This window comes from Homo sapiens, chromosome 20, assembly GCF_000001405.40.
Source record: "Homo sapiens chromosome 20, GRCh38.p14 Primary Assembly".
Classification (NCBI taxonomy): Eukaryota; Metazoa; Chordata; class Mammalia; order Primates; family Hominidae; genus Homo; species Homo sapiens.
The window spans coordinates 37,153,650-37,181,061 of NC_000020.11; the positions used below are offsets into that span (position 1 = coordinate 37,153,650).

At 44.8% G+C, this 27,412-nt stretch overlaps 2 protein-coding genes and 1 pseudogene across 14 annotated transcripts in view, besides 5 other annotated features; 1 reads left to right on the forward strand and 2 right to left on the reverse strand.

The window, feature by feature from the left end:
• MROH8 (maestro heat like repeat family member 8) overlaps positions 1 to 25,899 on the reverse strand; it is a 78,382-nt gene extending 52,483 nt beyond the window's left edge. For 2 of the 3 annotated variants that reach the window (NM_152503.8, NM_213631.3), the window contains 9 exon segments: positions 1,414 to 1,518; positions 4,211 to 4,306; positions 5,243 to 5,387; positions 6,448 to 6,527; positions 14,472 to 14,594; positions 18,263 to 18,408; positions 20,346 to 20,467; positions 25,574 to 25,738; positions 25,740 to 25,899. In NM_152503.8, the coding sequence (NP_689716.4) occupies positions 1,414 to 1,518; positions 4,211 to 4,306; positions 5,243 to 5,387; positions 6,448 to 6,527; positions 14,472 to 14,594; positions 18,263 to 18,408; positions 20,346 to 20,467; positions 25,574 to 25,738; positions 25,740 to 25,831 (1,074 nt within the window). In that variant the 5' untranslated portion in view covers positions 25,832 to 25,899. 3 annotated transcript variants of the gene reach the window in all.
• On the reverse strand, positions 12,133 to 12,670 carry LOC100419562 (ribosomal protein L13 pseudogene; annotated as a pseudogene).
• Positions 25,239 to 25,798: an enhancer, noted in NCBI's record as "NANOG-H3K27ac-H3K4me1 hESC enhancer chr20:35807291-35807850 (GRCh37/hg19 assembly coordinates)". NCBI's record gives its function as "activates a minimal SCP1, AML or CMV promoter by ChIP-STARR-seq in primed H9 embryonic stem cells {active_cell/tissue: H9 hESC(primed)}" and the evidence as "EXISTENCE:reporter gene assay evidence [ECO:0000049][PMID:30033119]".
• Positions 25,307 to 25,386: an enhancer, noted in NCBI's record as "active region_17830". NCBI's record gives its function as "activates an Ori minimal core promoter by ATAC-STARR-seq in GM12878 lymphoblastoid cells {active_cell/tissue: GM12878}" and the evidence as "EXISTENCE:reporter gene assay evidence [ECO:0000049][PMID:35858748]".
• RPN2 (ribophorin II) overlaps positions 25,681 to 27,412 on the forward strand; it is a 62,290-nt gene continuing 60,558 nt past the window's right edge. For all 11 annotated transcript variants that reach the window (NM_001324301.2, NM_001324305.2, XM_006723851.4 and 8 more), the window contains exon 1: positions 25,681 to 25,720. In NM_001324301.2, the coding sequence (NP_001311230.1) occupies positions 25,708 to 25,720 (13 nt within the window). In that variant the 5' untranslated portion in view covers positions 25,681 to 25,707. The remainder of the gene's footprint in view (positions 25,721 to 27,412) is intronic.
• Positions 25,737 to 25,786: an enhancer, noted in NCBI's record as "active region_17831". NCBI's record gives its function as "activates an Ori minimal core promoter by ATAC-STARR-seq in GM12878 lymphoblastoid cells {active_cell/tissue: GM12878}" and the evidence as "EXISTENCE:reporter gene assay evidence [ECO:0000049][PMID:35858748]".
• Positions 25,799 to 26,356: an enhancer, noted in NCBI's record as "NANOG-H3K27ac-H3K4me1 hESC enhancer chr20:35807851-35808408 (GRCh37/hg19 assembly coordinates)". NCBI's record gives its function as "activates a minimal SCP1, AML or CMV promoter by ChIP-STARR-seq in naive H9 embryonic stem cells {active_cell/tissue: H9 hESC(naive)}" and the evidence as "EXISTENCE:reporter gene assay evidence [ECO:0000049][PMID:30033119]".
• Positions 25,907 to 25,956: a silencer, noted in NCBI's record as "silent region_12885". NCBI's record gives its function as "represses an Ori minimal core promoter by ATAC-STARR-seq in GM12878 lymphoblastoid cells {active_cell/tissue: GM12878}" and the evidence as "EXISTENCE:reporter gene assay evidence [ECO:0000049][PMID:35858748]".

The window sequence follows — 27,412 nt, forward strand, 5'->3', positions numbered from 1 at the left end:
TTAGCCAGGCGTGGTGGCCTGCACCTGTCACTGAATGACAAACAGTTAATAAGTTTTGTTTTTTTTTTTTGAGATGGAGTCTCGCTCTGTCGCCCAGGCTGGAGTGCAGTTGCGTGATCTCGGCTCACTGAAAGCTCTGCCTCCCGGGTTCACGCCATTCTCCTACCTCAGCATCCCGAGTAGCTGGGACTACAGGCGCCCGTCACCACGCCCGGCTAATTTTTTGTATTTTTATTAGAGACGGGGATTCACCGTGTTAGCCAGGATGGTCTCCATCTCCTGACCTCGTGATCCGCCCACCTCGGCCTCCCAAAGTGCTGGGATTACAGGCGTGAGCCACCGCGCCCGGCCCTAAGTTTTATAATCATAATATTAAGAACCCCCAAACTTTATCAAGACAAAAAAGGCCACTGAAGAATTACGCTCCTAGTTTGATTACTAAATGCTTCTTCAGCATTTCCTTTTTTATTCTTTATTCTTTAGATTTCTTTGAGAATATGAAAAAAGTTAGAGACCCAGATAATATATATTTGTCAAAACTCATTGAACTGTATACTTAAATTGGATAAATTCATTGTATACAAATTATACCTCAATAAAATTGATTTAAAAAAAAACTATGGACCTTCCTCAGAAAAATCCAGAAGAGGACGGGCGTGGTGGCTCACGTCTGTAATCCCAGCACTTTGGAAAGCCAAGGAAGGAGGACCACTTGAACCTGGGAATTTGAGACCAGCCAGGGCAACATGGTGAAACCCCATCTCTACCAAAATAAATAAATAAATAAATAAAAATTAGCCAGGCGTGGTGGCGTGTGACTGTAGTCCCACCTACTTGGAAGGCTGAGGCAGGAAGATTGCCTGAGGCCAGGAGTTCAAGGCTGCAGTGAGCTATGATGGCCCCACTGCACTCCAGCCTGAGTGATGGATCAAGACCCTGCCTTGAATAATGATCATCATAATAATGAGATGCCATAGGGGAGATGATTCAGAACTGAGAAGTGAGAGAGAGAAAGAGAAATGTGAGGATCTGAAGAGGTGCCATAGTACCACTCTCTTTGAGTTGCTGGGAGATATTGAAGTTGATTTATTTAAATTTGCCTGCTGTACTCAAATATAATACTATACAGAGACTAGCCACCATGGGCCTCAGGTATTTTCAGGTTATAGTTACTATATCATTATGTTCCAGCTGTTGTGTTAAGCAATGGAGATGCAAAGATTAATCAACACAGCAACTGGCCCCAAGCTGCTCAGGAGAAGAGCAGATAAGAAGACAATGCTAAGTGCTATGATAGTACATGAGCACGAAGGGGACACAGAACCAGCCTGGGGAGTTATAAAGAGGAGGAGAAATCGGCAGTGAGGGAATGGCTTTGGATCTTTCCTCCTCTGCAACTGAAGGGCCGCTCACCTTCAAGTTGAGATGTTTGGATAGGCACTTCAGAACTTGAGCCATGCTGGCCGTGGCCCGTTCCCGCTCATGGTCTTTGACTGACTGTAACCAGGGGACCAAGTGCTGTGAGAAATAAAGGGAGGCTAAATGGTTTATCAGGAAGATTTGGGATACCATCCTTATTGTGTTTAGAAAGAAATGTGGAGTGACAAGTTCCATGTTGCTACCAGATCTCAAAATACTTTGCTAAATGCTATTATAGCTCAGGTTGGAAATAAAAGTGGTAGAATGACAAGCAAGGCACAAAGACATGGGTGGTGGGTGGTTTGGTTGTTATATAGGAGCTTAGGAGCTTCTTTTCTTTTTTTTTTTTGAGATGGAGTCTTGTTCTGTTGCCCAGGCTGGAGTGCAATGGTGTGATCTTGGCTCACTGCAACCTCTGCCTCCCAAATTCAAGTGATTCTCTTGCCTCAGCCTCTCGAGTAGCTGGGACTACAGGCACTCGCCACCACGCCCAGCTAATTCTGTATTTTTGTAGAGACGGGGTTTCACCATGTTGGCCAGGCTGATCTCGAACTCCTGACCTCAGGTGATCTGCCCGCCTTGGCCTCCCAAAGTGCTGGGATTACAGGCGTGAGCCACTGTGCCTGGCCAGAGCTTATTTTCTAGACTTACTTTCTCTTCAGCCCAATTCTTCAATTAATTATTCTGTACTTCTGAATGTTTTTAGCTCTTTCAAATCTGCTTTGGAAAGAAATAAAGTTAACAACATGCTACTAATTTTAAAGTTTAACTCTGAGGACAGCCAGGTGTGGTTGCTCATGCTTGTAATCCCAGCACTGCCGGAGGGATTATACTGACTGCTTGAGCCCAGGAGTTGGAGACCAGCCTGGGCAACATGGTGAAACCCCATCTTTACAAAAAAATACAAAAATTAGCTGGGCATGGTGGCGTGTGCCTGTAGTCCCAGCTGCTCGGGAGGCTGAGGTGGGACGACTGCTTGAGCCCGGGAGGCGGAAACTGCAGTGAGCTGAAATCGCGCCACTGTACTCCAGCCTAAGTGACAGAGCGAGATCCAGTCTCAAAAAAAAGAGAAAAAGAAAGGCTTGAATTAAGCTGCCAAGGCAGGAAAGTACAAAGTACAACTGCATAAAGAGGAGAAACCCAATCTGGCTGGTATGCTAATGTACAAATAGAAGAGGAATGAGAAGTAGTATTAAGGTCAGTTAGGATGAGAATAAATGCCCATCAGAGCATTTAAGAAAATAAGCTAGAAAATAAGCTCCTGTAGCAGCCAAACCACTCGACTGCCTAGGTTTTTGTGCCTTGCTTGTCAGTTAGGACAACAATAAATGCATCATTTGGGTGCAAACGATTAATAATAGCTTAAAGCCTTATCCCTTTCTGGGATATCTGCATCTTAAAAAAAGGATAAGAAAAATAAAAATAAAATAACAACAATAAAAAAAGGGTAGGAGAGCAAGATACCTGAATGCAGTGAATGAATTCCAATGAATCAATCTCTAGTGATGGAAGAGCATATACAGGAACAGGTGCAGGTCAGAGCAGTTCGTCATTATAACCTTTGAGTATCATCTGGTAGGAAGCTGCTTATTTACTAACTCTTTTTTTGTTTTGTTTTGTTTTTGAGAAGAAGTCTCGCTCTATCGCCTAGGCTGGAGTACAGTGGCGCAATCTTGGCTCACTGCAACCTCTGCCCCCTGGGTTCAAGCAATTCTCCTGCCTCAGCCTCCCGAGTAGCTGGGACTACAGGCATGCGCCACCATGCCTGGCTAATTTTGCATTTTTAGTAGGGACAGGTTTTCACCATGTTAGCCAGGCTGGTCTTGAACTCCTGACCTCAAATGATTGATTCGCCTGCCTTGGCCTCCCAAAATGCTGGGATTACAGGCATGAGCCACCGTGCCTGGCCTTACTAACTCTTGAGGCTGACCCTTCCCTCATCACTGAATAAAACCCTTCTATACTAGTGAGGAATAATAATTTTTTTTTTTTTTTGAAATAGAGTCTTTCTCTGTCACACAGGCTGGAGTGCAGTGGTGCGATCTCTGCTCACTGCAACCTCCTCCTCCTGGGTTCAAGTGATTCTCATGCCTCAGCTTCCTGAGTAGCTGGGATTACAGGTGTGTACCACCACACCTGGCTAATTTCTGTATTTATTTATTTATTTATTTTTTAGTAGAGTCAGGGTTGTGCCATGTTGGTGAGGCTGGTCTCGAACTCCTGGCCTCAAATAATCCACCTGCCTTGGCCTGTGCTGGGATTACAGGCGTGAAACACTGCGCCCTGCCCCCAGGAATAATTTAAGGAATAATTAAGCAACTATTTAAACAATTTATTGTGACAGGGTGCAGTAGCTCATGCCTGTAATCCCAGCACTTTGGGAGGCTGAGGTGGGAGGATAACTTGAGGCCAAGAATTCGAGGCTGCAGGGAGCTATAATGGTGCCACTTCACTCCAGCCTAGGCCACAGAGCAAGACCCTGTCTCTGAAAATAAATAAACAAATAATTTATTGAAGGCCACTTATTCAATATTCACAGTAATTATTATCTCCATGTAAATGTGAAGAAATGCAACACTGAGAGAGCAAATTCCTTGCAGAATTTCTAGCGGGAGGACGTGTAACCAATGAATGGCAGAGTCAGCATTTGAACCCAAGTCTCTGACTCAAAGTTGATAGCTGATACTCTTTACTACGTTGCCTCTTACCACTGAATACTTCCACATTTTCATCTCCCACTTTCACCAGTTAATAGGAATCATTTCCCACTCTCCCTTGATATCTTGTTTACCTTAATAATGGTGTCAAGATTTTCCAAATGTGGGTCTTTTACCACCAAACTCTGGAGCATCTCAGAGAATGCCTGAAACGTCTGCCTGTAAAGACACTGAAAAGGCACAGGATCAGCAACACTCCCTGGCCCCACGTGAAGTTCCCCTAGCATGGGACACTTTGGAGGCTCTTCATGTGACCCTAAGACTTTACTCAAAGTTGCAGTACCAGTGTAAAGGTACTAGTAGGTTGTTTGTGGCATGAGGTAAAAAGGAATACATCTTCATTTCAAACAGGCGCCTCGGCACTAGAGGGATCACAGCTGACTGAGTCTTACTACATCTGGGGAACTGCTTAAGGGTCATCAAGATTCTTTAAAGTTGGCTTGTGACTCTTTCTGATATCTTCAAACAGAGGGGAATAAAGTCCTCTTGGGTAACTGCTTTACCAACCAGTTTATTCGCCACTGAAGAAGAGATCAAGGCCTGCACGTACCCTTCCCTCTGCTTGAAAGCTTTCTCTCCAGACATACCCACACCTCTTTTCTTTCAATTATCATCCCATCATGAAGGCTTTGCCTGACCACCCATGTGCCTCCCAACCACAGGGCCCTTGATCCTGCTCTTTCCCTGCTTTACATTTTCATAACACTTATTATCAGCTGACATATTATATGCATGTATCAACAGTTTGTCTCTCTGCACTAGAATGTAAGTTCCGTGAGTGGGACTGGACTGCTGTATTCCTACTGCCTATCATCATTTTTGGCATATGATGACATACGGCACATTGTGTGCTTAAATAAACGTTAAGCACACAAGCGAGTGCTCCCACCTTATTTTAAAGCCAAAAGGAAGGAAAGAATAAAGGGAAAAGGAAAGAAGACAAAATGAAGGGTTGAAAGAAGCTATCTTCTAATTTAACCACCTATTTTATTTACCAGACTTGGCTTATGGTTTTTGGCTAGTTTCAAAAAATCAAATGCACTCTCCAAAGGCCAAGATCAGCTGACCCTGTGGATGGAAAGTTACTAAAGCAAAGCATGAGTTACCTCTGTGTTGCAGGTCCCATTGGGCATGATTTCCTGTATCTGGGTAAGGGTCCTTACAGAGGGCAGAGTGATTATACTCTTGATGGTAAGACTGAACAACTCAGCTCGATCTTCAGAGCCCAACAGCAAATGGACATCTTGGTAACTAAGAAAAGACAGTTTGGGAACAGCAAGCTGGAAAGACGGTTTGATTTGATACTGATAAGCAGAGATCAACTAAAAAGGAAAGGGTAGACAGGCTAGTGTACTGTTCTGATGTGAGAAATAAATGGCATAGCTTGTCAGTCTGTTCAGATAAATCTCACAAAAGGTTAGAGGAAGTTTTCCCCCAAGAAGTTACTGGAGCAATATCCTTCCAGGCTTCCCTTCAGTTCAGCCACAGAGGGAAGCCTGCTACAGTCTAACGTGGTAAGCCACAATTTTCCAAAGCATATTCTGCTGAATGTTCATTTGGGGAATCATGGGTTGAATCTAGTTAAAAAACTTTTTAACCACAAGACTTCTCAGGGTCTTTGATCAGCTTAATCACTACAATATAAATCTCTGAGAGGTAGACAATAGGCAGCCCTTCCAAATTTCTTAGAAGCCGGAACTCTAATGTCATGAGACATATATGGGAGTAACTTCCTGCCAAATATACTTTGGACAAAACTGAACTCCAAAGAGATTCCAATAAAGTCTTTCAGATATGGATAGTAGCATATATGAAATCAAAGTGCTTACTCAAAAACACGGATTTGGCTTCCTCTTTTCTACATAAACAGTTTTCAAAAGTTAAAAATATGGATCATGGCCAGGCGCAGTGGCTCACGCCTGTAATCCCAGCACTTTTGGAGGGTGAGGTGGGTGGATCACTTGAGGTCAGGAATTTGAGACGAGCCTGGCCAACATGGCGAAACCCCGTCTCTACTAAAAATACAAAAATTAGCCAGGCATGGTAGTGCACGCCTGTAATCCCAGCTACTCGGGAGGCTGAGTGAGGCAGGAGAATTGCTTGAACCCAGGAGGCAGAGGTTGCAGCGAGTCAAGATTGTGCCACTGCACTCCAGCCTGGGGGACAGAGCGAGACTCCATTGAAATGGACTCCATTGAAAATTTTTTTTTTTGAAACAAAAAAAAAAAAAAAAAAAGGGTCATGTCAGTTGGACCTGGCATTGGCCCTGAGAGGAACCAGGATGCCCGTGTAAGGGGCGTGTGGGCATCACCTGAGATCAGCGATGGTGACAAAGACCTCCTGGCGCATGGAACTGGACAGAGAATGCGGGCGTTCCTCTTGTACCAGTACCTGCAATGAGAGGGAAAGAACTTGAGAGTTGAGAAAGTACCCATTCATTAGGCCAGTGACGATCAGAGACTGGGTGGCCAGCAAGAACCACAAAAGGTCCTTCAGCCAGCCCTGCTCTTAGGCCCCAGATGCCTGGCAGCAGGACAGTGACAGGGATAGGGGTTTATTCTCTTGAGCCAGACCCCAGACCCTGGCTCTGCCTCTTACCAGGTGTTTGAGCTGACACAAATTATTTAACCTCCTTGTGCCTCAGTTCCTCATCTGTAAAACCAGAAAACAGGAATACTTACCTTCATGGGGCGGCTATGAGTACTCACTGAGCAAATTCATGACACCCAGCAGCCCTGTGTAATTGTTAGTGTCTGTTATTCACTCTTTTTATCACCAGTGATTATTTCTAGTTTAGGCATTCTAACTCCTCTCTCCACTAAACCAGCCATCTCTCTATGATCACATCTAATATTATTCTGAGTTACTTGTCCCGGAAAAAGAATAACTTTCCAATTTACAAACTGGCAGAGGGAAAGTGCATTGCTGTGCTGGAAAAACCCGTGGAGTGATAAGCAGGGGCTCTGGAGTGGGACAGTCCCTGGGCTGCGCACTGGCTCTGCCACTCACTCACTGTGTGAGCCTGAATGTGTCATTTAACTCCCTGTGCCTGAGTTGCCTTATCTGTATGGAGAAAATGAGCTAATGTAAATGACTGTAGCTGGCTGGACGCAGTGGCTCACGCCTGTAATCCTAGCACTTTGGGAGGCTGAGGCGGGTGGATCACCTCAGGTCAGGAGTTCGAAAGCCGGCGCCTATAATCCCAGCTACTCAGGAAGCTGAGGTAGGAGAATCGCTGGAACCCGGGAGGTGGAGGTTCCAGTGAGCCAAGGTTGCACCACTGCACCCCAGCCTGGGTGAAAGAGTGAAACTCTGTCCCCCCAACAACAACAACAAAAAAGACTGTAGCAGAAGCCTTGCTGGACTGTCCACCAGGCCCCTCTGGGAACTGTCCCCAACCCACAGAAATGGGTACTTCAAAGCTCTGTGTCTGCTAGGTCATTCTGTCCCACTGGCTACAGCTCATCTGTCCCAGAGTAGACACCAAGGTCTATTAGATTCTCTCTGGAATCTGGAATTGGGACACAGAGCTTCAATCTCAGTCTGGATGGTCTTCTAAAGGAAAAAATTTAAAATTTGGAAGCACTGGTCCCTGTGGATGAGGCAACTGAGAGGGCCAATTTTGGGGAGAGAAGATGGGGGAGAGGGAGACGGGGTGGGGGGAAAGGGAGAGAGAGAGGAGAAATGGAAATTCATACAAAGGAGCAAAAATAAGATATGGAAAGTTCTCCTTGAGTATGTGGAAGGTTTTTATTTTCTAGATTCATTCCCTTCCTGGGTCAGGCTGCTCCTCCTGTCAAGGGGTTCTGGGAAGCACTCAGTGATCCTTAGAACAAATCTCACCTTTTGTGTTTCAGCTGCTTCTAGAGGATTTCTCTTACCTGCAACCAAGAAGATCTCACTAGGAACTTAGGATGCAGGCTGGGCGCAGTGGCTCACGCCTGTAATCCTAGCACTTTGGGAGGCTGAGGCGGGTAGATCACCTGAGGTCAGGAGTTCGAGACCAGCCTGGCCAACATGGTGAAACCCCATCTCTACTAAAAATACAAAAATTAGCCAGACATGATGGTGGGCACCTGTAATCCTAGCTACTTGGGAGGGTGAGGCAGGAGAATCGCTTGAACTCGGGAGGCGGAGGTTGCAGTGAGCCGAGATGGTGTCATTGCACTCCAGCCTGGGCAACAAGAGCAAAACTCCGTCTCAAAAACAACAAAAAAACTTAGGATGCAGTAAGTGCTCACTAAACACTACAAGGTTCCCTTTCTTGCCCCTTTCTGAGTTTTTCTCCTCTTACTTTCCAGCTTTGGTCTGACTCCGATCTTGCTGGTGGGCTGCTGCTTTCTTCCTTATTTTCTCAAGGAGCACATTTATTCTTGCGGCTTTATAGTCCAGAAGGGACAAAGCCTAAGACTCTATCTTTAGCCCTGACAGCTCTCCCAGGGCTCTACTCATCTGCATCTGGTTATCTCCAGGGCACACCACTAACATCCCCAGAATTTTGGCATTAAAGTCAGTTCACTGTGGTCCCCGTGCGAAGAACACAGCTTCCTATCCTTTAATAGCTGTCAACTGTTCCCTTTCCCAGGGCTCACTAAAAAGGTGATTCATGATTCTTTCTTTTGTTCAAGCCCTACCTCCTATCAGTTATAGCATCAGCCACCCCCTGCTCTGCACGGTTTCTGTGACTCTCCATTCCTGGAGCCATACGCCTTCATATGGATGAAAGCAGGGTCTCTTAGCTGAAGCCCCGGGCTTGCAATCCCCTCTGACTTCAATTGACTTGATCCACTTCTGCCAGAATCATCTTTTCTTTTTTTAATCAGTTGGGTATTGAAGGTTTATTATTTGTTCACAGTTATGCTGGCCTCCACAGGGAATTCAAAAGTGAGAGGGTATTTTTTGTTAGTAGAGTATGTGTGTAGCAGGAACTTTCTGGGTGACTGCCCAGATCACAGCAATCACCCTTTCTCCCTCGGAACGCCTCCGAAACGCAGGGTGGGACACCCAGAAGTCATATCATTACTATATGATCTTGCCCCCAGGCAAACCTGATTGATGCAGGGGTGGGGAACAGACTAGTTTGGGCCAATCAGATTTTCTCTTGCAGAATTTGGAATCTTACAGTGACAGGCACAAAGCGGGAGTTGCTAGAGGGTTGAGTCATGGTGATGGTAGCGAAGCCCCTGCCTCTGAGAGCTCTGGAGCTGTCCTGAAACTTACTTTTCTGGAGGCTTGTTTAAACCTCATCCTTAGAGTCTAAGAGAGATATCCCAGCATCCTTTTTTTTTTTTTTTTTTTTTTTGGTAACTTACGTGAGCCAGAGGTGATTTTTGTTTCTTGCCTGAAGAATCCTAACTAATCCAAACAAAATTAGACGTTTTGTCTCAAAGGTCTTTTTTTTTTTTTTTTTTTTTTTTTTTTTTTTTTTTTTTGTGAGACAGAGTCTGGCTCTGTCGCCCAGGCTGGAGTGCAGTGGTGTGATCTTGGCTCACTGCAACCTCTGCCTCCCAAGTTCAAGCGATTCTCCTGCCTCAGCCTCCGGAGTAGCTGGGACTACAGGCGCCTATCACCATGCCTGGCTAATCTTTGTATTTTTAGTAGAGACGGGGTTTCACCATGTTGGCAAGGCTGGTCTCAAACTCCTGACATCAGGTGATCTGCCCACCTCAGCCTCCCAAAATGCTGGGATTACAGGCATGAGCCACTGTGCCCAGCCTGTCTCAAAGGTCTTAACAAAAGCCGAGCAGATGTGAATATCTTTATTTTACTGGTAGAGCTACTGATGTTCAGATAAGCTAAGTGATTTGTCCAAGGTGGGGAGGGTTTTGTGGAGGACCTCAGATATAGAATTCCGATGGAGTCCCATGGTGGCAGAGGAGAATTAAGAGGCAAATCTGGTTACATTAAAATTTTATTACAGTAGGTCTTGGTGCTCATGTCTGTTGTTGAGTCACTAAAAACCATCTCCTGGCCACTCTGCCATATTGCAGAATGCAGAACCCTAGCCTTGGCATAGCCAAGTAGCATTCTTCAGCTTACCATCTGAAGTCCTTACCCAGTGGTCCTTTCTCTCTTCTCTCAATCCTATCCATCATATCTTTCAAAGATTAGGTCAGATCCACCTGGATTAATTTCACCCTAATCCTGCTGTCACTTTATTCTATATCCCAGTTGCCACAGCCTGCCTCCCTTCCCTTTCCTTCCTTCCTCTTTTTCTTTCTTTTCATTTCTCCTCTTCTCTTTTCTTTCGTTCTTCTTTCCTTTGTCTTTCCTTTCTTTTTCTTTCTCTCTCCTTTCTTTTTCTTTCTCTCCTTCCTTTCTTCTTTTTCTTTCCTTTCTTTCTTTCTCTCCTTTTTTTCTTTCCTTTTTTTCTTTCTCTCCTTCCTTTTTTTCTTTTTTCTTTCTCTCCTTCCTTCCTTTCTCCTTCCTTCCTTCCCTGCCTCCCTCCTCTCTCCCTCCTTCCCTTCTCTTCCCCTTCCCTTCCCTCCCTCGCTCCCTCCCTCCCTTCCTCCCTTCCTTCCTTCCTTCCTTCTTTCCTTCCCTCACTCCTCTTTCTCCCTTTCCCTTCCCTCCCCTCCCTCCCTCCTCCTTCTCTTCCTCTCTCTGTCTCCCTCTCCCTCTCTCTCTATTTCTTTAAAGATGGGGGTCTCACTATGTTCCTGAGGCTGGAGTGCAGTAGCTATTCGTAAGTACAATCATAGCTCACTACAGCCTCCAACTTCTGGGCTCAAGTGTTCCTCCTGCCTCAGCCTCGACAGTGGCTGGGACTACAGGCAGGTGCTACCACACCCAGCCTCTTTTCTTTTTCATTAAAGTTCTCAACATTATATAATGTATATTTTTATATTATATTGTATATTGTATATTTTTTACAATATACAATAAACTGTACATATTTAAAGCATACAGTTTGATGATTTTTGATATATGTATATATCCATGAAACCATCACCATCCTCAAGAGAATGAACATTTCTATCACTTCCAAAAGTTTCTTTGTGCTACTTTGTGATTCCTCGCTCCTTCTCCTCCTCACTCAACCTCTGCCTCTAGGTTACCATTGCTCTGCTGTCACTATAGATTCATTGGCATTTTCTCGAATTTCATGTAAATAGAATCACGCATGATATCCTCTTTTTTATCTGGGTTCTTTCACTCAGCATAACTATTTTGAGATTGTTCCAAGTTGTAGCATATTTCAATAGTTCCTTTTCATTCTCACGTAGTATTCCATCATGTGGATATACAATACCACAATTTCTTTATCCGTTCACCTGCTAATGAACACTTGGGCTTCTTCTAGGGTTTGGCTTTTACATATAGAGCTGCTGTAAACATTTGTGCATGCATCATTGTGTGGACATATGTTTTGTTTTACCTAGGAGTGAAACTGCTGGGTCATATGGTAAGTGCATGTTTCACTTTTTAAGAAACTGCCAAATTGTTTTCCAAAGTGGTTGTGCCATTTCACATTCCTGGCAACACTGTATGAGAGTTTTAGTTGCTCCATATCCTTGCCAATATTTGGTATTGCCTTTCTTTTTTATTTTAGCCATTTTAGTAGGTGTATAGTTGAAGCTTACTGTTGTTTTAGTTTGCTTTTCCCTAATCACAATGATCAGCATCTTTTCATGTGCTTATTTTGAGAAATTTTTGGTGAACTCATGCCTGTCATCCCAGCACTTTGATAGGCTGAGGCAGGCAGATCACCTGAGGTCAGGAGTTCAAGACCAGCCTGGGCTGGTCTCTACTGTGAAACCCTGTCTCTAATAAAACCGCACAAAATTAGCTGGGTACAGTGGCAGGTGCCTGTAATCCCAGCTACTTGGGAGGCTGAGGCAGGAGAATCACTTGAACCCGGGATGCGGAGGTTGCAGTAACCTGAGATTGTGCCACTGCACTCCAGCCTGTGTGACAGAATAAGACTCCATCTCAGAAAAAAAAAAAAAAAAGAAAAAGAAATATTTGGTGAAGTGCCATAACATTTTTTCCCCCTTCTTTCCACTTTCTATTGTTGGCTTCCTTGGCTTTTTTAATTTGGATACTTGGAGCCATGCACTGGTTTGGGTCACAAGCACTGGTAAATGCCTTAACGTTTTCTTTCTCTATAATGACCCTGGCTTCTTCCTCCTTGTCGGTTCCTCAGCAGAAATGCTTCTCCTCTTGGGCACCTCTCCCTTTGGTTGCTGGGAGCTGTGCTTTTTCAGCCCCCATGTGTGGGCCTGTGGGGACTTTGTAGACTTACACAATGCTGCAGTGATCCATGCAATTTTCTCATGGATACTAGCTACCTTTAACTCTTCTAGGCTGAATCCCCTGCCAGCCTATACTTTGATTGACATCTGATGTGGGCATTTTATTACTGGGTGGACAGATGCAAATGCAGATTCAGTGTGTAATTCAGTACATTGTTGCTGTTGAGACCTGCATTTGTGGATTTTATGGACTGGCTGGTTGAACCATGTGGCAACCCATTGTTGCCAAGTTTGGTGAAACTAGAGCTCTAGAAACATGCCACTCTGGCTGGGTCCTATGATCCTGCGGTTGCCTACATCCCCTTTCCCAAGGAGTACAGCCAAGTAGAAAGCTGCATTTGTTTTCTGTTTGTTTTTGTTTTTGTTTTGAGATGGGGTGTCACTCTGTCACCCAGGCTGGAATAGAGTGGCTTGATCTCGGCTCACTGCAATCTCTGTCTCCTGGACTCAGCTGATCCTCCCACCTTAGCCTCCCGAGTAGCTGGGACTACAGGCATGCACCACCACATCCGGCTAATTTTTTTTTTTTTTTTAAGAGATTGAGTTTTACCACATTGCCCAAACTGGTCTCAAACTGTTTTTTTATTTGCTTGTTTGTTTGTTTCTTTTTTGAGACAGAGTCTCACTCTGTTGCCCAGGCTGGAGTGCAGTTGTGTCATCTCAGCTCACTGCAACCTCCACCTCCCAGGTTCAAGCAATTCTCCTGCCTCAGGAGAAGCTGTGATTACAGGCGCCTGCCACCATGCCCGGCTATTTTTTGTATTTTTAGTAGAGACGGGGTTTCACCATGTTGGCCAGGCTGATCTCAATCTCCTGACCGCAAGTGATTCGCCCACCTCGGCCTCCCAGAGTGCTGGAATTACACATGTGAGCCGCCGCTTTTTGTTGTTAAACCTGTATTATATCATCCTGTTCTTCTTAATGTATTATTTGGAATAGTTCTCAACCTATTTACTTTTTGAAATATGGCTACTTACAGATGGATCCTAAACCCTTCAAGGGCAAGGATTAAGGTTTCCAGGAAATGCGTAACCTTTATCAAAGCACCACAGTGTGTTTGGATATAGAAGATCCTTGGTAACTGTCCATTACTTAAAACTGTTAGCTGGTTAGCCTTGAATTATAAAAGCTATCAGTCTAATCAGCCTTATAGATCTGTGATATGAGAAAGAACTACTCATATTTCTGGAGTATGTAAGAAATTTCAACATCAGAATTTTAAAGCTTTAGAGAAACTGAAGGAGACATTTCACAGATGAGAAAACTAAAACACCAAGAAGTACTTGCTTGAGTGCATCAGCTCCTTTGCAATGCCCTTCTGGATCCTTTGCCATGGAACTGACCACTCAATCTCTACTCTCAGCCCCCCATATGCCTATTTAAACTTGTCACAGTTCCTGTGACATTTTATTATACCTTGCTTGGCTGCATAAATAGGGATTTTGTCTTCTTTGTCTTTGTAGCCCAAATTCCCAAGACAGTTCCTGGAACTGTCAGGCACTTAATGAGGGAATGAATGGATGAGTTGGTGGCAGAGTGTGGCTGGAGTAAGTACAAATAGAACAAAATACGATAACAATAATATAGTCATGTTTCTCAAGTGGCTCGTGTGTATTAGGTACCATGGACATGGCTTATATTTATTTTGAATTTAATGGTCACAATAGCTCTGTGAAGTAGATATAGCTATTCTTGTTTTATAGGGGAGGAAACTGAGGCATTGAGAAGTGAAGTAATTTCCTACAGTTTCACAGCTATAAAAAGGCAGGGCTGTCCCCTGAACCTAGGCATACGATTATGGGGACTGTCTGGGAACTACTGCTTGAGTCATGAGAATGTAGCGTTGGCCTTGCTGAGAAATTCAAATGCTGTTCCTGTCCTTTCTACTCTTCTTTTAATTGGTTTTCAAGGGTGATTACATGTGTGGGGTGGCCATGAGTATTTCTCCTCCATGTGGAGATACTGATACTAGAAGAGTTCAAGTGAATTGATAACATAGGTGAAGCCACTAAAAAATGCTTTGGCCAAGTCACTGAATTTGTGTGATCCCAATCATTTGTGATAAGGTCATAATACTTACATTTAAGGTATGCACAATGTCTGCTATGTGGCTGTGAATGAATGATTTTGCGGTTTCATCATAAGGTAAAGCTTGGCTGAGAGAAGACAGATCTCCTAGGAATTTCAGCTTTTCAAGTTCACCCTGAATTTGTGGGAAAATGATAAAAATACAATTATATGTCATAATCTTATTTGAATAACTGTGGAGAGTTTTTGAAAAGTTTCTTGGAATGCTTTAAATATCTGACATCTCTTTCAACCCAATATCAGTCTTTTATTACAAAGAATGAGTAAATTACGGAAGATTTCAGTGAAATTCCTTGTCCGCTGGCCCTGCCTTGCTTTGAGACCTCGGCTCTCCTCTCAGCTCCATGTTCCATCCTGGCTTTCCCCACTCTTAGTCTTTGCTTTTCTACCTGCCTGTCCTGTGTAGTGTTGCCTGATTAAGCTTCCTAGGCTGGGCATGGTGGCTCATGCCTGTAATCCCAGCACTTTAGGAGGCCGAGGTGGACAGATCACCTGAGGTCAGGAGTTCCAGACCAGCATGGCCAACATGGTGAAACCCTGTCTCTACTAAAAATACAAAAAAGTAGCCAGGCGTGGTGGCGCGTGCCTGTGCCTGTAGTCCCAGCTACTTGGGAGGCTGAGGCACGAGAATCACTTGAACCTGGGAAGCGGAGGTTGCAGTGAGCTGAGATGGTGCCGCTGCACTCCAGCCTGGGTGACAGAGTGAGATCCCATCTCAAAAAAAAAAAAGCTTCCTAAAGGTGACCTCTCTGATTCTGTTACTTCTAGTTCTTTCAATGTCATTAAAAATTCATTATTTTGCTTTTAAAATTTCCTATTAAAATCCAAGTTCTGATTGGAAGAATAAAATCTCTCAGTACTAACATTCTCTTTTTCTTTTTTATTTTATTATTACTATTATTATTATTATTTTTTTGACATGGAGTCTCGCTCTGTCACCCAGGCTGGAGTGCAGTGGCACGATCTCAGCTCACTGCAACCTCAACCTCCTGGGCTCAAGCAATCCTCCCGCCTCAGCCTCCCAACTAGCTGGGACCACAGGCACGCACCACCACGTCCAGCTAATTATTTGTATTATGTTGCCCAGGCTGGTCTCAAACTCCTGAGCTCAAGTGATCCACCTGCCTTGGCTTCCCAAAGTGCTGGGATGACGGGATGACAGGTGAGAACCACCATGCCTGGCCTCTCTTTTTCTTTTTCTTTTTTTTTTTTTTTTTTTGAGATGGAGTCTCGCTCTGTCACCCAGGCTGGACTGCAGTGGTACACCTGGGTTCAAGTGATTCTCCTGCCACAGCCTCCCAAGTAGCTGGGACTACAGGCATGCACCACCACACCAAGCTAATTTTTGTATTTTTAGTAGAGATGGGGTTTTATCATCTTGGCCAGGCTGGTCTCGAACTCCTGACCTCAGATGATCTGCCTGCCTTGGCCTCCCAAAATGCTGGGATTACAGGCGTGAGCCACTGCACCCGGCCTCTTTTCTAATTATACATACATACATATATATATAAAATTCCTATTTATCATAGAACCTTTTTTTTTTTTTTAAGACAGGGTCTTGCTCTGTCATCCAGGCTGGAGTGCAGTGGCGTGATCACCACTCACTGCAGTCTACATCTCCTGGGCTCATGGGATCCTTGTACTTCAGCCTCCTGAGTAGTTGGGACTATAGGTGTGCTTGAACCTGGGAGACGGAGGTTGCAATGAGCCAAAATCGCGCCACTGAACTATAGCTTGGGTGACAGAGCAAGACTCTGTCTCAAAAAAGAAAAAAAAAATCTCTATATATCTTAAGACTTGGAGAATGCGTTTGCTCCTGAAGCAGGGTCCAGTGTCCTTTCTTTTTTTTCTTTTGAGACAGAGTCTCACCCTGTTGCCCAGGCTGGAGTGCAATGGCATGATCTTGGCTCACTGCAACCTCCGCCTCCCAGGTTCAAGCTATTCTCCTGTCTCAGCCTCCCAAGTAGCTGGGATTACAGGCACCTGCCACCATGCCCGGCTAATTTTTTGTATCTTTAGTAGAGATGGGGGTTTCACCATGTTAGCCAGGCTGGTGTTGAACTCCTGACCTCGTGATCTGCCCACCTTGGCCTACCAAAGTGCTGGGATTACAGGTGTGAGCCACTGCGCCTGGCTGGTCCAGTGTCCTTTCTAAGTGTATCTACAAACCACATGAATAAATTGCTATCACAGCACTTGCGATACTCTGACATAATGACCTTCTTATTAATCTATTTCCCTGACTGACTGTGGAATCAGCTCAAGGCAGGTAATGGGCTTTTTTGTTTCAATTCATGGCAGCAATCCAAGCCCTTCATTAACTACAAAGAAATCGAAAGAAAACCATGCTGATATGAAGTATAAGGATTAGCTGAAGTCAAAAGTGAAGGCCAACATGTTGGCTTTAAATGTTTTATTTTTATTTTTCATTGGTATTCTACATAAAGAAAATGTACAGTTTGGTGGATTTTCACAAACCAAAAAACACCCTGTAGCCAGCAACAGATTATTACTAGCATTCCTGAAGTTTCCCTCATCCTCCTTCCAGTGGAGGCTCTGTGTGGTTTTGTGTGTATGTGTATGTGTGTGTTTTGTGTGTGTTTTGGTAAATTGACAAATTATGGTTGTATATATTTATGCGGTACAAAGTGACAACATGATTTTTAAAAATGTATCATACAGTAAAACTGATTTCGGCAGGAAGCATGTGGTTCCATGTGTTATAACACACACATACACATGTGTAACCATCACCACAATCAGGATACGAACAGTTCCACCATCCCCTAAATTTCTCTCCTGCTATCCCTTTTTAGTCACATCCTCTCCCCACCCTAATGCCTAGGAATCACTAATCTGTTCTGCATCACCATGTTTTGTCTTTTCAAGAATGTCACACAACTGGAATCATACAGTCTGTAACCTTTTCTGATTGGTTTCTTTCACTCAACACAATGCCTCTGCGATTCATCTTTGCTGTTGTATCGATAGTTCCCTCCTTTAATTGCTGAATAGTATTATATTTTTTGAGACAGGGTCTCGGTCTGTTTGTGGCCCAGTTTGTTTATCTGTGAATAGTCTTTAATCTTACTACTCCAACTTCTTCCCTGCGTCTAGCATAGTGCCTTATAAATGGTAGCTGTTCATTCATTACTTGTTGATTGGGTGAATGGGATTTAAAAGCCATAGAGGACCAGGCACAGCGGCTCATGCCTGTAATCCCAGCACTTTGGGAGGCCAAGGCATGTGGATTGCTTGAGGTCAAGAGTTCAAGACCTGCTTGGTCAACATGGTGAAACCCATGTCTACTAAAAATACAAAAATTAGCTGGGCAATGGTGGCACGTGCCTGTAATCCCAGCTACTCAGGAGGCTGAGGCAGGAGAATCACTTGAACCCGGGAGGCAGAGGTTGCAGTGAGCTGAGATTGTGCCACTGCACTCCAGCCTGGGCGACAGAGTGAGACACTGTCTCAGAAAAAAAAAAAAAAAAAGTCTAAAAAAATATAAACCAAAATGTCAGCAGTAGTTATTTGAGACTGGAATTAGGGAAGATTAGCTTTTAATTTTTATTATGGTTTTCTTTGTTTTTACATTAATTTCATAATTATATATGTAAGTATAATTTATAAATATATGTAAATATATGTATTATAAATATAAAACAAACATGTTTTATAACCTATAATATAAAATTATTTGTATAATCAAGAAATAATATGTTTAAAATATTTGTTAAAATGGAGGAATAAGTTGGATAACTCATAAAAATTGCTTGTGCATACCTTTAGCTCACCATTGAAAACCTTCTGGATGGACTGGATCAGTTTCTCAACAATGGCCTCACTGAGCGGGTCCTGTTGGGTCAGGTGTCTGGGGCTATGTGACAGGGGCTCACAATGGAGTCCAGGGATGTCAGGGATGTCCAAGTCTAACATTGAAAGAAAGACACTGGATGATGCCTCCGTACTGTGTAAAGTGATAAGGTTTAGTATGGAGTACCTCTGGCTCACCTTTACTACTTGCTCTATGACCTTAACCAAGTCCCATCCTGTCTCCTAGACTCAGTTTTCTCAAAAATAAATTCAATGTTCTCTAAGGGCCTCCTAAGCTACAAAAAACCTTTGGGACTGAGCTGTAGCAGAATGGTTAAGACTATGGACTTTAAATCTCAATTTGAGACTAGTTTGAATCTTGGCTCTACCACTTACTATTTGTATGACCTTTATCAAGCTAGTTTGCCTCCTGAAACCTAAGTTTCCTTTTCTGTAAAACAGGGTTATTATAAGAATTAAATGAGGTAATACATGCAAAGAACTGATCCCAGAAGTATTTCCCCCTTAACACATCTTTCATCTGAAGATTTTTACCATTCTTTTTTTTTTTTTTTTGAGACAAGAGTCTCACTCTGTCGCTCAGGCTGGAGTACAGTGGCGCGATCTTGGCTCACTACAACCTCTGCCTCCTGGGTTCAAGCGATTCTTGTGCCTCAGATTCCCAAGTAGCTGGAATTACAGGCACACGCCACCACCCCCAGGTAATTTTCGTATTTTTAGTAGAGATGGGATTTCGCTATGTTGGCCAAGCAAGGTCTCGAACTCCTGACCTCAGGTGATCCACCCGCCTCAGCCTCCCAAAATGCTGGGATTACAGATGTGAGCCACCGTGCCCGGCCACCACTCTACTTTTGCATTCTTTTTGATTTCTTGAATGCCTCTTCAGTAAACTCTACCCACTTCCTGCCATATTCCTATCATCCACTAATTGCAATAATTGAAGCCATGTTCTCATTCTGATCTGTGCACAGGCTGTTCCTTCTGCCTGCATTTTTCTCCTTCTTCTCCCCCACCTTCCCTTACCTATCTTTGCCTTGCTAACTCCTACTCATCCTTCAAGTCTCAGCTCCAGGATGCCTTTCGTGTATGCCCTTTTTGCCTATTTTGGCTAAGTATCCCCAAGTCACTAATAAACCGCTCTGTATCCACTCTGGCTCTCCCACCCCCATCACACTGATTGCACTGAGTTCCATTTGCCTGTTCATCCGTAGGTATACTGTGTCTGTTCTGTTCGATGCTATATCTCCAGCTGCTAGATTAAGCTTAGAGCACAGGAGGGCTTCATTAAGTATTTGCTGAATGAATGTATGAATGAATGAAGGTAGCTTCAAACACACCAGGATCTTTCCTGTGTCATGCACATGCTGTCCCCATCTATCTGTAGTACTCCCTATACTCACATGAGTTACTCTCACATCTTTCAAGCCTCCTTTAGATTTAAATAGCACTCATGGTCTCATACAGGTGTTCTCTGACAACCAGAGTTTCAAGTAGGTTCCTATTGCCCTTATTTTTGTCTCAGCCTGTTCTTCCATACTGCTTACTACAAGTTGTAGTTACTTCAGTGACTGTTTACTCTTTTTGGTCTCTTTTCTGCACAATAATGTAAGTTCTATGAGGGCAGTGACCATGTTGGTCATGTCTACTGTTGTATTCCCAGCTCCTGGTACTCAATACATGTTTTGTAGAATGAAAGTTATTCTGAAGCCCAATCCAGATCTTACCTTCTGCATAAAGTCCTCCCACTCCAAGGTATCCCACACTGCCCTTTCCCTCCTCAGAATCCCTCAAGCACTCACACTCTTCTGCAGAACTGTCTCAGGACCAACCTTAGTTTCCTGGACATCACGAACCATGTATCTCATTTTGCCAACTGTATTTCAAGGTCTCAAAGTCAGGGACCAAATTCATCATCAAAGTCTAGTCAAGGGCTGGTCACCCAGCAAGTACTCAATCAATACCTCTTGGCCTGAGTTGAAAATACATTCTCTTTTCCCCTCCCCTCCCCTTTCTAGTCCTTTCTCCTTTTTACCTGTCAGTTCAATGCTACTTGAGCCTTTTTTAATAATCTCTAAGTTGCTCAGCTCCAAATCCACACTTTCTGAATCACTGTCATAGGCACAGGGGATCACTACTTCTTCCTGACTACAGATCCTAGGAATAAAGAGGAGATGCGAAAAATTAGTTTTCCAGGACTGCTTCTGTCTCATCATTTATTTGAAAGCCTCAATGTCACTTTCTGAGAGAGGCATTTATTCATCACCAATCTAGATTAAGTAGCTCCCACCATCCTGGCCCCACAGTTACCTTCTTATTTTTTTCATGGTATTTAACCACCACCTACAATTACCTTGCTCATTTGGTTTATTTGTTTGACTGTCTCCTATCAGACTATAAACTCCATTAGAGAGAACCCTCGTCTACATGGTCACATTTGTATCCCCAATACCTACCTAGCATGTTGTCAGTCTCATTAGGAGTGAATGGATAGGTAAGAAATACTATGCTGCTGTTAAAAACAATGCTGGGTGCAGGTGGCTCACGCCTGTAATCTCAGCACTTTGGGAGGCTGAGGCGGGCAGATCACCTGAGATCAGGAGTTCAAGACCAGCCTGGCCAACATGGCAAAACCTGGTCTCTACTAAAAATACAAAAAATAGCCGGGCATGGTGGCACATGCCTGTAATCCCAGCTACTCGGGACACTAAGGCAGGAGAATCACTTCAACTGGGAGGTGGAGGTTGTAGTGAGCCGAGATTGTGCCACTGCACTCCAGCCTGGGTGACATAGCAAGACTCCATCTCAAAAAACAAACAAACCCATCAAAAAAACCAGATTGAGGTAGAACACCTCACCAAACTCCCTCTATCTTCCTTACCCTTTCCTACTTTTTCTTTTTACCATAGCACGTAACACCTTCCAATATATCTTTCACTTGTTTATGATGTTCATTGTCATTTATTTCCTCCTGCTAAAATGTAAGCTTCATGAGGGCAAGAATCTTTGGCTGCTTTGTTCATGAATGTATCCCAGGAGTCTAGAACAGTGACATACAGAAGTGCTCAACAATTATTGGCAGAGTAAATGATTGAGCAGGTCTCTATTTACTGAATGTTTAGCATAGATTCATGAAAGAAAAAGCAAGCTGTCAAACAATGGATATGACATTTTTCATTAAAACAAAACTATTTTCACAAAAGTATAAGTATATGTGTATACACACAGAAACACACACACACAAATGTTGGCATACATGAAAAAAAACTTATGGAGGCTGGGTATGGTGGCTCACTCTGTAATCTCAGCATTTTGGGAGGTTGAAGTGGGAGGACTGCTTGAGCTCAGGACTTCGAGACTAGCCTGGGCAACACGGTGAGACCTCATCTCTACAAAAAAGTAAAAAATTGGCCAGGAGCGGTGGCTCATACCTGTAATCCCAGCACTTTGGGAGGCTGAGGAGGGCGGATCATGAGTTCAGGAGATTGAGACCATCCTGGCTAACAGGGTGAAACCCCATCTCTACTAAAAAAAAAAAAAACAAAAAAATTAGCCGGGCACGGTGGCGGGCGCCTGTAGTCCCAGCTACTCGGGAGGCTGAGGCAGGAGAATGGCGTGAACCCGGGAGGTGGAGCTTGCAGTAAGCCGAGGTTGCACCACTGTACTCCAGCCCAGGCGACAGAGCGAGACTCCATCTCAAAAAAAAGAAAAAAAAAGTAAAAAATTAGCTAGGTGTGGTGGCATGTGCCTGTAGTCCTAGCTACTCAGGAGGCTGAGGCAAGATGATCCCTTAAGCCCAGGAGTTTAAGACTGCAGAGTTTAAGCTATGATGGCACCACTGCACTCCAGCTTGACTGACAGAGAGAACTTGTCTCTAGAAGAAACAAAAACACAACTTACGGAATTCATTTTTTAAAATTATTTATTATTTTTAATTTTTATTTTTTTTGACACAGAGTCTCACTTTGTCGCTCAGGCTGAAGTGCAGTGGTGCAATCTCAGCTCACTGCAACCTCTCTGCCTCCTGGGTTCACGTGATTCTCATGCCTCAGCCTTCTGAGTAGCTGGGATTACAGGTGCCTGCCACCACGCCCGGCTAATTTTTATATTTTTAGTAGAGACAGGGTTTCGTCATGTTGGCCAGGCTGGTCTCAAACTCCTGACCTCAGGTGATCTGCCCACTTTGGCCTCCCGAAGTGTGGGGATCACAGGCATGAGCCACGGCGCCCAGCCAATAAAACAATTTTGGAAGGACACCCCAAACCAATAAAGTTTGAACTCTGTCCTGTATGCATATATTTCTTTAATAAAAAATGAGTTCATTAAAAACAAAGAAACCCTCTAGGAGCAGAATGGTTGGGTTGTGTGGTAGATTGTGTAACTGACTTCTTAAGATGCTGCCTGGCCACGTGTTGTGTCTCACGCCTGTATTCCCATTGCCTTTGGGAGGCTAAGGCGAAAGGATTGCCTGATACCAAGAGTTTGAGACAAGCCTGGGTAACATAGCAAAATCCGATCTCTACAAAAAATTAGCTGGGGGTGGTGGCATGTGCCTGTAGTCCCAGTTACTCAGGAAGCCAAGGCAAGAGGGTCCTAGAGTCCAGGAGGTGAAGGCGGCAGTGAGCTATGATTCCATCACTGTATTCCAGCCTGAGCGACAGATGGAGACCTTGCCTCGTAAAAAACAACCACCGCCAGTGGCTCACGCCTGTAATCCCAGCACTTTGGGAGGCTGAGGTGAGTGGATCACTTGAGGTCAGGAGTTTGAGACCAGCCTGGCCAACATGGTGAAACCCCGTCTCTACTAAAAATACAAAAAAATTCAGCCAGGCAGTGTGGCGCGCGCCTGTAATCCCAGCTACTCGGGAGGCTGAGACACGAGAATCGCTTGAACCCAGGAGATGGAAGTTGCAGTGAACTGAGATTGTGCCATTGCACTCCAGCCTGGGTGACAGAGGGAGACTTTGTCTCAAAACAAACAAACAAACAACGAAGAAGCTGTCAATCTGTTTCCAAAATGGTCGTACCACTTTACATTTCCATCAGCAGGATATGAGAGATCCTGTTGCTCCACATCCTTGCCAACATTTGCTATTGTTGGTCTTTTTCTTTTTCATTAGTCAGGTGTGGTGGCTCCCATCTGTGGTCCACAGCTAGTCACTAGGACCACAGATGCGAGCCACCACACCTGGCTAATCAAAATTTTTTTTTTGTAGAGGCAGGTCTTGCTGTGTTGCCCAGGTGGGTCTCGAATTCCTGGACTCAAGTGATCCTCCTACCTCAGCCTCCCAAAAGCTCTGGGATTACAGACTGAGCCACCATTCCTGGCTGCATATGCTAAGTCTGTGGTGTAAATACTCCCATCATGGCCAAAATCAAGCTACCAATACTACCTTGGGAAGAGATGTTCAATGGCATACTGTCATATATTTCCACCACACAGTTACAACAGATATAAGCAACCACAAAAGCACACAAAACGTAAAATGTAGTGAAATAATTAGAAAATAATGAGTTTTGTTTTCAATATACTTTATTTCATCCTAAATTGATATAATTTTCTAAATGGCTGTATTTAACCAATTTGCAAAATTACTGCAAATTTAACAATGGACTCTCAAGATAGTATGAGACAGCTCCAGCACACCACTGGTTGGTTGTCTTATTCTTGAGCTGGGAGAATTCTTTATATATTCTACATCAGCACTGCCCAATGGAACTTTCTGCAATAATGAAGATGTCCTATAATTTTGAGTGGTCCAATCTGATATCCACTAGTTATCTGTGGCTACTGAGCACTTGAAATGTGGCTAGTACAAATGAGAGACTGAATTTTAAATTTTACTTAATTTTAATCCATTTAAATTCAAATTTAAATATCCACATAAGGCTAGTGGCTATCATAACAGACACAGAAAGAACTGACTCTCTCCCATGCGGGATAACATTTGGGACAATAATAACGTTAATAAGAGTTATATTGTGCATACTTTATATGTTCATAAAACTGTAGTTAAAAGCACAGATTCTGGAGTCAGCTGCCTAGGTTCAAATCTGTTTCCTTCTCTTTAAAATGGGATTAGCCTGTAATCTCAGCACTTTGGGAGGCTAAGGCCGAAGGATCCTTTGAGCCCGAGTTCCAGACCAGCCTGGGCAACAAAGCGAGACGCGGTATCTACCAAAAATAATTTTAAAGATTAGCTGGGCGTGGTGTCGCAAGGCAGCAGTCCCAGCTACTCCGGAGGCTGAGGCGGGAGGGAAGATTGCTTGAGCCCAGGATGTCGAGGCTGCAGTAAGCTGTGATCGCACCACTGCACTCCAGCCTGGGCGACAGAGCAAGATCCCGTATCAATAAAAAAGGAAAGAAAAGAAATAATGCTTGTAGAGCGTTCGGCACAGTGTCGGGTTATACTGTAAACATTCAGTAGTTGGCGCTAGTTATTAGAGCGGTGTTCCTGGATGAGCCACCTCCATGTTGAGCCTGTAAAACTGGCCTAATATGTTCTCTATGAGTCACTGCATTGCTCTGCAAATCAGATAAAACGTCACTCGTAGGTCAGTTATTAACAACCCCACTGATAATCTTTGGAAAAAACTGACATAATTTTCTTTTTCTTTTTTTTTTGGTGAGACGGAGATTTACTCGTTGCCCAGGCTGGAGTGCAATGGCGCGATCTTGGCTCACCGCATCCTCCGCCTCCCAGGTCCAAGCGATTCTCCTGCCTCAGGCTCCCGAGTAGCTGGGATTACAGGCATGTGTGACCACGCCCGGCTAATTTTGTATTTTTAGTAGAGACGGGGTTTCACCGTGTTGCCCAGGCTGATCTCGAACTCCTCACCTCAGGTAATCCGCCCGCCTCGGCCTCCCAAAGTTCTGGGATTACAGGCGTGAGCCACTGCGCCCGGCCAGAAACTGCCACAATTTTCTAAAGAGGAAAAAAAAATCCCTTCTAAGCTATCCCCTCCCGACGAGACCCTTCCTGTTCCTTTAAAATGGGCCGGGCAGCAGAAAGACGAGTGAGTGACAGCAGACAGGCCAATCAGAAGCGGCCCCGTCTCGGGCCCACCCCGAGGCCTGGCCCAACCGCGTCCCGGTAGCTCCCGGAATAGGAGCGTTGCGAGACGGTCGGTTCCAAGTGGGCCTGGGCGCGGGGGAGAGGCGGGTCTGTCCTCGGGAACTGCAAGGCCCTGTGAGCGGGAGGACTGGGATCCCGGCCGCGGCTGCTGGAAGCGTCGAAGCTCAGCGGGGCCGCGGACACTGACCTGTGCTTAGAACTCATCCTGGCCCGCAGAGCCTGCCGCGAGTCCCTGGCGTCCCCTGTGGCGGGCTCTTGGAGCCACTTTCCCGAGCGGAAGTCAGCCCGCGGCTCGGACTCCGGCGGGACCTGCTCGGAGGAATGGCGCCGCCGGGTGAGGAGTTGCGCGTGGCTTTGGGGAGAGGGCTGTCGCCCGCGGGAGGTTACTAGTCGCCGCTCGAGAGCCGGCCAGGCGGGATCCCCTTCCCCTGCGGGACAGGGGCATGGGCACAAGCTCTGGCTGGGGCGCTCTCGGATCGAGGGTCCGAAGGAGGGCTGCGAGCTGGTGGGAGTGCCCGCGACCTGGCGGGGTTGGTGCCTGGGGGAGGGGTGCAGCGCGGAGCTACGGGTCGCCCCGAGGCTCAGCCGTGGGGACCGCGGACGCGCTTAGCCTAGGTCTGGCCTCATTCATTTCACTCGCGCGGGCTTCTGGGCCAGGCGGCCTAAGGTTCTGGTCCCGGCGCTGCCCCTTACTCCGTGTGAGGTTTTGGGCAGATTGTCCTTCTTTGTGCTGTAGTTTCCCATTCAGTGAAAGGGGCAAAGAAAACCCTCACTTCTCTCTGGGAGCCTGGAGCATAAGTTCTCAAGTGACACTCTAGGTGCAAACTTGCAGTCGGCCACGTATTCATTGTGTAACCCAAAGCAGGTTACTTAACCCCTCTACACCTCAGTTTCTCATCTGTAAAATAAGTTAGTCAAATTAGTCACGTTATCTGCCTCGTTGAGTTGCTTTATTAAGTGAAATAATCTTCGTGCTTAGTTTAGAACAGTGCATGGCCCTAGGTAAGAACTAAGTTAACTGCATTGGAAGTTACTGAGTAGACGCTGTGCAGGGTGGAATTTCATGTAGCCTCATCGTAACTTTGGAAGCATGTACTCTTGTTACTACCATTTGACAGATGAGAAGTTGGAATCCCACGGAAGGGAACTTACTTGCCCAGGGTGACACATGAATGAGTCAGTGGCTCACCGTTTCATTATTTGAGAAGTTCAGGATAGTAAAGTGGTTAAAAGCAGACTTTGGATTCAAATTGCCTGAAGTTTGATTTTCAGTGATGTGTCCTAGGGCAGGTAACTACTTCTGAGCCTTACTTTCCTGGTCTGTGAAATGCAGAAAATAGCCACCTTGCTTAGATGTTGTGAGGATTTAATGATTTGGTGTGTGCAAAGCACAGCATAGCGTGGGCATACCTAACATATTAAGTGCTCAACTTTTAGTCAGAAAAGTTACTGCTCTCGTTAACATGGAGTGAGAAGATTAGGATTCTGACACAGGTGCTGTTTTAGGGGAATTTACGGTCTAGGTGGGAAAATGCTAGTCGCAGCCATTCACTAGATCTTCATATATTGGGTACCCGCCTGTGCACAAGGCATTGGGGATTCAGCATTAGTATCTTGACTCCGCTCTCTCTTAGGTCTTTCTGTCCATTAGCAGTTTCTGATAGGCTTTGACTTTGAATTCTAGCCAGACTAACTCTCATCACTTCTCATCATGTTCACTGCTGTTGCCCTGGTTTGGGCCACCATCATCTTCTGGCTTGGATTATGGCGGTAGTCTCCCAACTGGTGTCCCCTGCTCTGTCCTTGCACCTGCATGGTCTGTTCTCCACACAGTATTGTTTATTCTCAACACAGTAATACCATTAGAGTGTAAGTCAAATCACTCCTCTGCTTAGAACTTTCCAGTGGTCTCCAGCCGGGTGCGGTAGCTCACGCCTGTAATCCCAGCACTTTGGGAGGCTGAGGCGGGCGGATCACGAGGTCAAGAGATCAAGACCATCCTGGCCAACATGGTGAAACCCCGTCT